At 34.5% G+C, this 13,043-nt stretch overlaps 1 annotated feature.

Moving 5' to 3' along the window:
• Nucleotides 2,277-3,476: an enhancer, noted in NCBI's record as "MED14-independent group 3 enhancer chr6:102521075-102522274 (GRCh37/hg19 assembly coordinates)". NCBI's record gives its function as "activates an origin of replication core promoter dependent on BRD2, BRD4, P300/CBP and CDK7 cofactors, and independent of MED14, by STARR-seq in HCT116 cells {active_cell/tissue: HCT116}" and the evidence as "EXISTENCE:reporter gene assay evidence [ECO:0000049][PMID:35650434]".

Here is a 13,043-nt window from a genome sequence, read left to right on the forward strand (position 1 = left end):
TTAAAGCACTTTTAAAAATCAGTTTCGTATTGTATTATCCAATCTTAAATGATAGGCAGGAAATGACAACTTTAATTATGTTTAATTAATCACTAAATAGTTACTTAAATTTTTGCAAAAATTTGACATTTATTTAATTCAATTAAATTAGTGAACTTTGAAGAGTGTAAAAAACCTGCTGCCCTCAACTTTTCAAGTAATATAGAATATATAAACAATGTATAGTATTACTTTTTGTCAATGTCCTAAAAGGTATCTACATTATTGCCAAAACAGATATTTTTCTACTGTGGGGCTTATGCAATATGAGGTACTAATATTAATTCCAATAAATTATAATTACCTTTAAAGTAAAATTTAACTTTGAAAGAGCATCTCTTCTCTGGGAAGGCAGTATATTTGAGTAAGCATTATTCTCTGAAGTACATTGAAATTGTAAGAGAGAGGAAGAGGACACGTATTCTAATCAGCAACATAACCTTAAACTCTCGGTCATCAATGGAGGCACATAAGCCACAGCTAAATAACCCAAATCAGGATGAAAACACTGAGGATTTATATTCTCATTTAACATACCTAAATAATTTGAACCACTCTGAGAACACCAAAGAGATATTTAAATATTTATAGCTGATAACCCTAACCACTATGGAACACTAAGAGGACATATATTATTTTACAAATATGTAAAAGGGATGATAATATTTTATTGATTGCAGTGTTTTAAATACTTTGCAACTAAGTTATATTTTTAAAGTATGATGTCCTTATTGCTATTATAGAATGGGTGTATGTATAAAGCACTAATTATTTCAAAGAATTTTTAGCACCACAATACTTTTAAATGCGTGTTTATTATAAAATATATAGAAGAATGTATACAACACATGTGTGCAACAGAATCATGGCACCTGACTGTAATGTGGTCCCAAAGTACTTGTTCAGAGGAAGTGGGCTGTGGCTGTTCCATGTATTCAGATTATAGGCTTATTTTGGCTTATTTCTAACTTTCAGATATAAATTTAAGCAGAATACTTCCATAGAGAGAAAAGAGTACCGAGTCATTTTAGAGAACAGGGTATGAAAGGTACAAGAAGAACTTCACCAGTTTGTGACCAAGCAAAGTGTGAATAATAATATGGGCCAGGCTAAGCTGCAAAATTTGTCTTTGGGTTTAAAAGATAGTACAATGGCAGTGAGGACTTTGGTTATGACAGTCCTCAGCGTATCTGTAATTTTAGTCACACTATTTCAATATGGACTGATAGGCAGGCCTCTGTGTCTGCAGCACAATTATTAATGCAAGATTCCTCCCAGCTCTCTCACCTTCTGGTGATTCCCTTTTTCTCTCTCCATGGTGAATCTCCTGATGTCTCTAACATGTGTTCTCCCTTTCCTTCATTTACTCTCTATTTTTGGTGTCTTCTAAAGAAGGGGTGACTGAGGTCAATTTTTTTTTGAGATAGTTCATGTCTGAAAATGCTTTCATTATACCCTAATAAATAATTAATAGTTTTGCTAAGTATAGAAACTAAGTATAGAATTCTAAGTTGAAAAAATATTTTTCCTGGATAAATTTGAAAGCATTCTACTGTTGCTTTTTTTATTATCAGTCTACTGCAGAAAACCTGAAGTTAGATCCATGATTCTTTGTATATAATTTTTAAAATATTAACTTTCTTAATTTTGTATGATCTTTTCTTTATCTTTAGCATCCTGAACTATACCAATCATAGCCATGTATCTACTTTGATTCATTGTCCTGGGTTCATGCTGATTTTTAAAATTTCAGTTTTAGGAAAACTTTCTGCACTATTTCTTTGCTTTCTCTGTTCACTTTAAACAGCTCGGTTTCTTTTAACATTGGAATTCCTGAACTTTTGAATCTAAATTTATTTTTGCTCTCCTATTTCTCATTTGTTTCATTGTTATCTTGCAAATATTGTGTTGAGTTTTTCATTTCTGCCCAACTGATTTAAATTCTATGAGTTCTTGTTTTATGGCTGTGATATATGTTACATATTTGAAGACATTACTGGTAATCTTTTGACATTCCCTTCTTCCCAAAAAGATGTTTCCTTTCAGTCGCATTATTCTGTTTGCTTAGTTAGATTTCTGTCTTTCATATTAGGAGTTTTCTTCAGATGTTTATTAATTTTAGCAACCTGCTTATGATAAAGAAAGAAAAACTAAAATCTGATTTAGAAGCTCTATATCACTCTACAGCAGGATGGGGAAGAATACTTACCTAATTTGAGCATTACCATAGATTAATCCAGGTGGCCTATTTGCCGAGGAATCCTTCCAAATGTCCCTATCTTTGGGTCTTTTCTTTTGGGCCTGTTCGATTCCCCCAGGAAGTGTCTTTTACTTTCCTGGCTGGAGATTAAGGCTCTGACGGCCAGTATTCTGCTAAACATCAATTAAGAGAGTTTAGGATCTCTGCGTTCTGCATTCAGAATGACTGTGGTCATTTAATCAAGCTATTTTAAATATAAGGCTCAGTCTTTCAATGGAATCTGGTGTTCTCCTCTAGAGATTTGCTGGATTCGCAGCAGGAAAGTTCCTAGGAGTGAAGAAGGATGTAACACAGGATCCACTATTTTTAAGCTACACTTAATACATCTGCCTTAATTTATGTACTCTCTTATACTACTAGCTATTAATGTACTTTGTACAGCTGGTTCCTCTGCCTTTTGAGTATTCTCTGGTGTAACTGGTTGGTTCTCAGCTTTTTCCACTGCCCATTTGGGATGCAACCCTTTCTTTTTTTTTTTTTTAATTGTCTCAGCAGGCAATTTCACTTCTATAGAAGGGTGTACCTCGTGGATGGAGCAATGGTGAGAGCACACCTGAGCAAGGGAGAGGAAAGGGTTCTTATTCCTGACACAGGTAGCCCCTACTGTTGTGTTGTTCCCCTGTTGGCTAGGGCTGGAACGCACAGTCAAAGCTAATTCCGATTGGCTATTTTAAAGAGAGCAGGCGTAGGAGCCAGAATGGTGGGGCGAGTAGTTTGGCGGGAAGGTCAGTTACAGAACAGGTGACTCAGGATGACTCAGGTCAGAGCAGGTGACCAGGGGTGTCTCAGGATGGAGCAGGTGACCAGGGGTGACACAGGATGGAGCAGGTGATAGAGGCTAGGAGGGGGTTGTTTACTGAAACTAGGGGCAAGGAGATGACGAGAACGAGAAAGTTAAACTTTAAAATGAAGAACAAAGAACAGGGGAGCTGAACATACTGATAGAACTCTTTCAAGTCTACTTAGGTAACTATTTGTTTGTTTTTCTGCTTCTAAAATTTTGTTGAAATTTTCTCCTTTCTTATTCTCATTGTTCTTGAGGTTTCGTGTATTTAAAAAATCTTCTTACTGTAATTGTCATAGTTGAGTAGGGAGCAACGTTAGATTAATATATTCAATACTTCACTGTTACCTGGAATAAGAGCCCTCTCTTTAAACAAAATATTATGCAGAAATCTAATACAGGAAGCAAATAAAAACTAGAACTACTCTGGTTCAAATAGAGTGAAGACAGAGCAGATCTTGTTCTTGTAATTGAAAGGAATATGATATAATAAGTATTGACAATATTTTCTTCTCACCAAATAAGTTTCTAATTCTATATATAAAGGAAATACTTTCAGAATAAAACGAATATATGAGTTTTATTTTTAAATCACAAAACGAAGTTCAAGAACATTTTTGAAACTGGGAAGATTCATATTTTAGTATCTGTCAAATGATGATAAATTCGGAAGCCAGTGTAATTTATACCCTAGGGGCTGAGGTCTAATTCAACATATTCCAGTTTCTATTTTCTAAAGCTAAAGAAACATGTGTTACAATGTAGATAGGGAATACTTTCTTAATGAACCATGCTGAACTGTAAGATTTTTAAGACTCCTTTTTAATGCATTACATTACACTGTATCTTGTTTTCACATTTATGGTGAGGTTAATATAAAAGAGACATTAAACAAATATATTTCTGCTCTTTACAAAGGATGATTATTGTTTTCTTACATTTCAACTAAAAATTTCTATAATATTATACTTGCAAGAAGTATAACACTCTTAATGAGCAATACAGTTAACCTTAAGGTTAACTTGCAAAATTTCATGTCTAATTTAGTATCATTAACACATTGAAAAATCTCTCCTAAATTTCACTCATCTTGATCAAAATCCATGTTAAAGGTTTTGAAACTACACTTAATACATCTGCCTTATTTTATGCCCCCACTTATACTACTAGTTATTAATGCACTTTGGACAGCTGGTTCCTCTGCCTTTTGAGGATTCTGTGGTGTAACTGATTGGTTCTCAGCTTTTTCCACTGCCCATTTGGGATGCAACCCTTTCAAGTCTGCTTAGGTAACTATAATTTGTTCATGTGTTTTTCTACTTCTAAAATTTGGCTGACATTTTCTCCTTATTCTTGTTGTTCTTGAGGTTTTATGCACTTAAAAAATCTTTCTACTGTAATTATCGTAGTTGAGTAGGGAGCAACATTAGATTCATGTATTCAATACTTCACTGTTACCTGGAATAAGAGCCTTTTTTAAGGGCTCTTACTGAAAAACACAATACACTTATGTTCTTCTATAATGTTTTAAGGAATTTTTTAACATTAATCTCCTGTCTCAGCCTTTAAGGCCATTAAATGACTTAAGATAGTTGCTGTGGCTCCAAACATTGTATCCACATTTCCACAAGAGGAAGTAAAAAAAGAAAAAAATGAGTCTTGCCCTTTCCTTGTAAAGACAATTTCCACAAGGTTCACATTCCTCTGGTCAGAAATCAGTCATACACCCACGCCTAGCTGGAAGGTAGGTTGGGTAATGTGGACTTTAATTCAGACAGTATTGTGTCAGTAAAAGTCAGGGGTTCTATTATTAAAGAAGCAGTGTAAACAGACATGAGAAAACAAACTGTAGCCTCTGTGCTTCTTGGTATTTTCTGGTCTCTCACTCCACTAGTCAAACTCTATCTTATTCTGTTGACACGCCTCCCTACTTTGATCATTTACTGTGCTATGTCAACCATTCTGTTCTTCTCAGATTCACTCATACCTTGTTGTTTTCTTTTACATTTCGTATACCTGTTTCCCTAAGGGAAACCTAGATTTTCCCTTATGATGCCATTTGTCTTAAAACATAATAGAAAGAAGTTGGCAATCTCTTTGCTCTGCAGAATATCTTTCATTTAGTTATCAATAATTATGTACCTTATATTAACTATTACTGATTTTCAAGATTTTTTTCTTTAAAAACCATGATTATCATTGGCCTGTGCCCTGCCACCATCAATGATGTATGTCTTCATTTGTGTTAAATAAAATCAGCAGACATACATTATAAACCAGATTTTGTGTTAGATACTGGGTATAAAATGATGATCAAAAATAGACATGGCACTGGCTCTCATAGTTTAGAGTCTAGAAGAAGAGGCCAAGCTTTATTAAATAAGCTGCTAAATACATTAAACTGAAATGTGCTGTCATAAGAAGTTCTCGACTAGGTGCGGTGGCTCACGCCTGTAATCCCAGCACTTTGGGAGGCCAAGGCAGGCAGATCACCTGAGGTCAGGAGTTCGAGACAAGCCTGACCAACAGGGCAAAACCCCGTCTCCACTAAACATCCAAAATTAGCCTGGCATGCTAGCACGTGCCTGTAATCCCAGCTACTCGGGAGGCTGAGACAGGAGAATTGCTTAAACATGGGAGGCGGAGGTTGCAGTGAGCCGAAATCACACCACTGCACTCTAGCATGGGGGACAGAATGAGACTGTCTCAAAAAAAAAAAAAAGTGGAACTCAAGCAGTACCGTTTAATAGCTGAAAATATGAAAATCTTGTTCGTCTTTATGAAGGACACACAGAGAAGTATCTAGTTGTATACTGCAATACATTATAGATTTTTGTTTTTGTCTCAGGCATATCTAACTTCTATTGGCTTTAAACCTTGGCATAGGGTACGATTCTTCCAGACATGGAGACATAAACTATGCTATTAGTACATTATTGGCCTCCATTACTCAGTTTGGCAATTTCCCATTATATACAAAATATGACAACATAACTTTACCTGAACTCTTTCCTGACCTGTATTAGTCCTGTTTGTTTGAATGTTTTCCTTTGTGCTTACATAGGGACAATAAAATATTTCAGCAGTGCTTTTAAAAAAAGTTTCTTGCTTTTCTTGCAAGGTAGAAGTAAACTGTGCTGTAACAATTAACTTTGGAACAAACAGAGCCAAGGGTCAAATATTTAGCCCTTTCCTAAAAGTTTACAGGAAAGTGCATTTGAGTCTTTTTCCACAGATAATGGGAAGTAAAGGTGTATTGCTGTACAAGAGTTTATAATAAAGGAACCTTATTTTGGCTACAGAAATGGAGTGGAGTTCTCTGAAGAAGTGATGTTTGCATTGAGCTATGAGTAATGAGAAGCAAGTTCTCAACAAAAGAGTTTCCCAGATTCTAACAAAGTTTACATAAAAGTTCTGTGACAGGAGGAAGCATGGCATGTTCTTGAGGAGCTGAAAGACAGTGTCGATAGAACACCATAGCATGACCCCATGTAATAGGAGATGCATTTAAAATATAGCTAGGGACCAGATCTTAGCAAGCTCATACCTTAGTGATCTGATCCTTATCTAAAGAGCAATGGAAAACTGTTTAAATCTCTTAAGCAGAAGGAATATTGTTGGACAATATCTTCATTTTGTAAAGACCACCCAGGCAGGAAATTGGAGAATGGTTTAAAAGGTACCAGAGTGGATAATGGGATGAAGATTTTTTAGCAAGCCATATCAGTAAGTTCAGGTAAGACATGTTAGTTTAGATTAGACTCAACTGGTAGCACTGAAGATAAACAGAAACACATTTAAAAAATAATTAGTTGACAAAAATTCACATTTCATGGTGAATTAAATAATAAATATAAAGATGACTAACAATTTTTGTTCTGTAACTTATAATGAGAGCTTTGCATAAATTACCTCCTCCCATTCTCTGATCAACCCTATTAGGCAAGAACTGGGATTATCACCATTATATAAATAAGGAAACTACTGACAGGAGAATTTAAATTAATTTCTTAAAGTATTACAGTTTTCAAAACCAGCCAGAATGACTCTGATATTCTTAACCATTATATTTGGTCACAGTAACAAACTATAATGACGTTGCAACGGCTTATCAAAATGAACGCTTACTTCTCATTCATGAAAATTCTGCTGTGGGTTTTTGAATGTCTCTCTATGGCTAATGTCATCGGTAATAATTCAAAATCCAGGCTACTTCAATCTTTCAATCCCCTCATCTCATCATTAGGTCTCCTCCTTTGTCACCCTCAGGGCTATTTGGCAGGACCTAGTCACATGGTCCTCACCTACTTCAAGGGGTTCACAAGCACCATAGGGGGTTCTAGCCTGGAAGGCGAGAAAAACTGATTTCTTGAAAACTAGCGATGCCAACTACACTATGCAAATCTGTACCAGATTTATGGCTGTCTCACCTGCTATTATCAACTGAAATAGGAAATAGAATAAAATGTAATAATATTTTAGATTTGAATGGAAGAGGATGCATTTAGTTTTTAGAGACATCTCTGAAAATCTAAGCAAAAATATTTTGTAGGAAATTGATCATAATGCATGAACTAGAGTCTGGTAAAAAATACATGTATATCAAAGTCAGCATCTTAGAGATATTAACTGATGTAGAGAATGTAAACAAGATTGTCTCAGTAAAGAATACCTTGTAAGAAGAAATGAGGGTCTAGAAGAAAGCATTGACTCTCTCTAAACTTTAACTGTTGGGTAAGAAGGGGAGGCTTGTATAGGAGATAGAGAAATAAGACTATGACATTTTAAAACGTTAACATTTTTCCATGTTACCCAGAGAGTGATCGATAGAAAATTGTCTGCAGCCCTTAATGCCCTACAGATGGAAAAATGAAGATATTCTTAACTTCCTTGCTGTGGGAACATGATTAAGTTACACTAATCCTGACTTCCAGAAGAAATGTAATGACATTTACATTGTAAATATGAAGAGTATCTGGGAAAAGCATCTGCTGGCAGGTTGGGCCATTGCTGAAAATGGAATCAAGCTGAAATCAGTGTCATATCCTCTTAAAACATTGGCTAGAATCTTGTACTGAAGTTGGTACTTGCACTTCACTTCTAGAACATTAACCAACCAAATCCAGGCAAAGAAGGTTCTTAGCTTAGTCTTCCTACCACTGTTTTAAGTAACACAGATCTATATATTATTTGGAAGTTGCCATACTGCACAATAAGGAAGCTCACTCGGTGGGTCAAATATGGTTGATGCTGGCCTAGGAAGTCTTCCCTATCTACGGCATAATTTTCTGTGAACATGTATAGAAGGAATGCCTGATCTCTACTTATATAGAGATCATATCTGTACTTAGATAGAGGTCTACAAGAGATTGAAAAGGAAGAACAGATTCCTGCTGTTAAGGCTGTGTTCTGGAGTGGTTTTAGGATGAATGCACCACTCTAAATGCTATATTTTCTACTGTTCAACCAATATTGCATATTGGTATAAAGGTGTGCAGATATCCTATATGCTTTTTTGGTAATTTGCTACTGAAGACTGGAGTGCTCAGTTGGTGAAAGATACTATGGTCCAGTTCCCACGGCTTAGGCCACTGAATAAATACAGTCATAGCATATATTTATAAATTTTCAGAGACGCTCTTAGACTATGAAATAAGATTCATAGAAAATAACAGTTATTTTATTATTATTATTGTTATTTTTTTTAGAGATGAGGTCTTCCTATGTTGGCCAGGCTGGTCTTGAACTCCTGGCCTCAAGTGATCCTCCTGTCTCAGCGTCCCAAAGCACTGGGATTACAGGCGTGAAACACTGTGGTTGGCCCAATAACAGTTTTTTGAAGCAAACTACCCCCACAATCACCACCACCACCACCAACATTGTAATTCCCGATAGTGACCCAATAACTATCCTGAGGCTCCTTTGCACCAAACCCATCTTAGTAACCCCCATATCTAGCCAAATCTTTGCTTTCAGTGCCATAAGGAATATGCTCTCATCTTCAGTTATCAAACTCTGAAATTACTGTCTCTGAACAAAAGCTCCTATTTTATCTTTTTTAGTTCTTCATTTCCACAGAAATGTCTTTTACTCTCATTTTTGTCTCGTTGTCTTCACCATTCCCAAGTTTTTCAGTAGTTTCATTATATTCTACCTTCTTCTATTTACCTCCAGGAGAAACACAGTGGAAATAAGAATTTGCAGAGACAAGGAGAGAACAAGTATGATACTTTGTCTTTGGAAACATCTGGTTTAATCTTCAAATTATGTTACTAAGAGTTGTTTATATTTTCTTCTGATAACTCTTGTTCATTGTTTTACACTGCTGCACAATATCTATTAATAGATGTGAACCTACTATAAATTACTTATCTATTGTCCAGTTCGTATTTAAGAATATTTTAAGTTATAAACTCTGCTAGTACATATACTGTTGTTAAGTCTTCTGATATTCTTGAGTTAAAATTTTATGTATATACATATGTATCCCAGCCTTGGTTTATGTTAATGCTCAACACCGCCAAAGCTGCTGTACCAATCAGCACTTTGGAATCTGATAATACATTCCTTCTTCAACCTGTGTTCTTGTCAGATTTTTAAAAAAGGTCTTTGTTTATCAAATATGTGCAGATGCTATTGTGGTCTTGATTTTCCTTTTGCTTGTGACTAATGCTAATAATATTTTCCAATGGGTGTTAGCTACATGTGTTTCATATTTTGTGAAAAATCTATTCAAGTATTTTACCCAGTTTCTTATTGACTTATTTTTCTCAATTACTAGAAGTCTATGTACTATTGATATTATCTAATCTGTTATTTTACTTGCTGCAAATTTCTCCTCCACATGTTACCTACGTACAACTCATGCACTGCGTAACAGTATTTTAGTCAACAACTAACTGCGTATCCGCCAATTGTCCCATAAAATTATAATGAGTATACCATGTAGCTTTGGTGTGTAGTAGGCTATTTTATTTAGGTTTGTTCTCACGGTGTAGATGGTTGTGAAGTACACAGTATGATGTTTGCACAATTGCAAAAGTGTTTAACGATGTATTTCTCAAAATGTATCTCCACCATTAAGTGATGCATAACTGTATCTTTCACTTTTTTTAAAGTGTGTTTTGATGAACAGAGGTTTGCCAATTTTAATGGTAGCAAATTTGCCATCTATTATTACACTTTAAGCACTTTTGATACCCCATTTAAAAATGTTTCCTTTAATAACAAATGAAATTTATTCATATGTTTTTCTAAAAATTTAGTTTATGATTTCAGTTTTAATTCAGATTCAATATGTGCTTTCATTTTCCCCATCTACATAATCATTTTCCTTAACCGAATTTGTTGTACAGTACCCCTTGTGATCTGTGAAGCTACATCTGGAACATACCAATATTTCATTTGTACATGGATTTGTATCTGGGCTTTATTTTTAATTCCCTTTGGAAATTTATTGTTCACTATACAAATACTGCATCAATTAATTAATAAAGCATTATAATAAGATTTTATTTTATTCTGGCAGAGGAAATCCCCCTTTTTTATTCTTTGTCTTTGGAAGTAAGTTGGCACATCACCTAAATTTCAGATTAAACCAATTTACACAAACATGTTTATCATAACTTTTAGAGTTTTATTTGGAATGAAATCATATCTCTGTATCAACTTGAGGAGAATTTGTATTTGTTTGATATTATCTTCTTATCCACAAGCACTTGTCTTTTTCTTTTTGATAATTTCTTATGTAAAGTTCCCACATATATTTATTTTATTTATCCCTAGATAATTTATAATTTATAGGTGTTGTAGCATTTGCAAATAGTGTCTTTTAAAAAATACGGATTTTATATTCTCTTGCTTAGATAAAAGAATGCAATTTATATGTTTATGTGTGTCTAAAATAAAACAATATTTTATGTATATAAATATATTCAGCCACCTTGCTAATCTCTTTTATTTCTACATATTTGTTTTTAGATTATTTTGGATTTCCTATGTAAAGAGTCACATGATATGCACACAATGAATGTCTTGTTTCTTCTTTCACTCTTTTTTTCTGAAGCTTCTTTTTTGCTTATTGAGCTGTCTGTGAACTCTAATACAATGTTGATTATAATAGGTAATGGTAAACATCTTTCTCTTTTCCTAACTTTAAAGGGAATGTTTCCAACCTATGTGTCATTACTCATTTTGCCTCAGTCCTTTGAGATTGTTTCTTACAGCATTATCCTCACCTAATTATTTCCCCTTTCTTCTCAGCACTTGTCTAGATCTCCAGTCTCTATTGTGCACCTGTCCTGTACATACATCTCTCTTCTTGTCTACTGATGCTGTTCTCTGGATTATTTTCATCTCTAGTAGTGATTTCATATTTTAAGACTCACATATATTAACAATTTTGTGACCCTGTTCACAGTCAGATTTATTTATTCACTTTTATTGGTTCTCATACTGACCTGTAGATAGCCTTTGAATATTCTTTATTTTTTTTTAATTTAACACGTTTATTGAACCTACCTATGTTTTAGAAACCGTGGTGACCCTCAAATTACAAAGATACATATAAATTATAATCTGTCCCCAGGAAAAAACTGTGATGGAGCCACAGAAAATAACGAGTACATACCCTCAAATATTTGGGTTTTTCTACATGCCTATACAAAGTCAAGGCATTCATTGTATTTTGTTTATTCTAATACAAACATCTTCCATCTAGTTTTCCTGTTTCCAACATTATGCTTCTCAGTCCACTATTTACTCTCAGTATAGTTGTTTACAAAATGAACCCTGATAATTTTATTTTGCTGAAAACTGCAAAAATCTTTGAATTTCAAATACTATCTATGATATAAATACTAGTTTTGACATACCATTTAGAGACATTTCCAACCTTCCACAAATTGATTCCAAACTGTATTTTTAGTATTATTTCCCTCAACTGCACTCATATGTATGTTTTGTATGTTTAGTTTTAGACATACCAAATAACTGAATAATATTTTTTCATGAATTTTCTAATATCCTATATTTGCTCTCCCTGTAAGAGTCTTATCCCTTTATCTTCCTGAAAATGAGCACTGCTTATTTTTCACAGTCTAGCTCACAGACATTCATAAACGATATCTATTTGAAGCCTTCCAGCATTTAATATAGGGTCCTTCATATAGTATACACTCACTGATTGTGGCCACGTAAACTTTCCTTTTGGATATGATTGTGTGTGCATTTTCTAGGCTGACAAAAATTAAAAATATTAGTTTTAAAGTAGGGAAAGCATGAAAATATTGCTGTACTTATAGTACCAACAGACACAGAACTGATACACATCAGTCACTTTTGATAGTATTGAGTGGATAATGATATAGTTTAAGGATTCGCTTTTGCTGCCATGCTCGTGACTTTTTAAATTTATTATTCAGTCTTTACAGAAGTAAACTCTGTTTGTCACCTTTGATATTATTATCTTTGTCAAAACTAGCTGAGAGTATATACATTATGATTTATGATAGATTCCTTTCTAAATAATATAAATTGGAAGAATATTAATTACATGAATGTTTTCCAAACACCTCTTCTGAGCCAGATACTATACCATTGGGTAGAAATTTAATGGTTAGCATTCACAGTTGATTTTTCTTTTTTCTTTTTTTTCTTTTCTTCTTTTCTTTTTCTTTCTTTCTTTTTTTTTGAGACAAACTCTCACTCTGTTCCCCAAGCTGGAGTGCAATGGTGTGATCTTGGCTCACTACAGCATCCACCTTCTGGATTCAAGTGATTCTCCCTCCTCAGACTCCTGAGTAGCTGGGACTACAGCCGCATGCCACCACACCCAGCTAATTTTTGTATCTTTTAGTAGAGATGGCGGGGGGTTTCACTATGTCGGCCAGTTTGGCCTTGAACTCCTGACCTCAGGTGATCCTCCCACCTCGGCCTCCCAGAGTGCTGGGATTACAGGTT

This window comes from Homo sapiens, chromosome 6 (genome assembly GCF_000001405.40).
Source record: "Homo sapiens chromosome 6, GRCh38.p14 Primary Assembly".
Taxonomy (NCBI): Eukaryota; Metazoa; Chordata; class Mammalia; order Primates; family Hominidae; genus Homo; species Homo sapiens.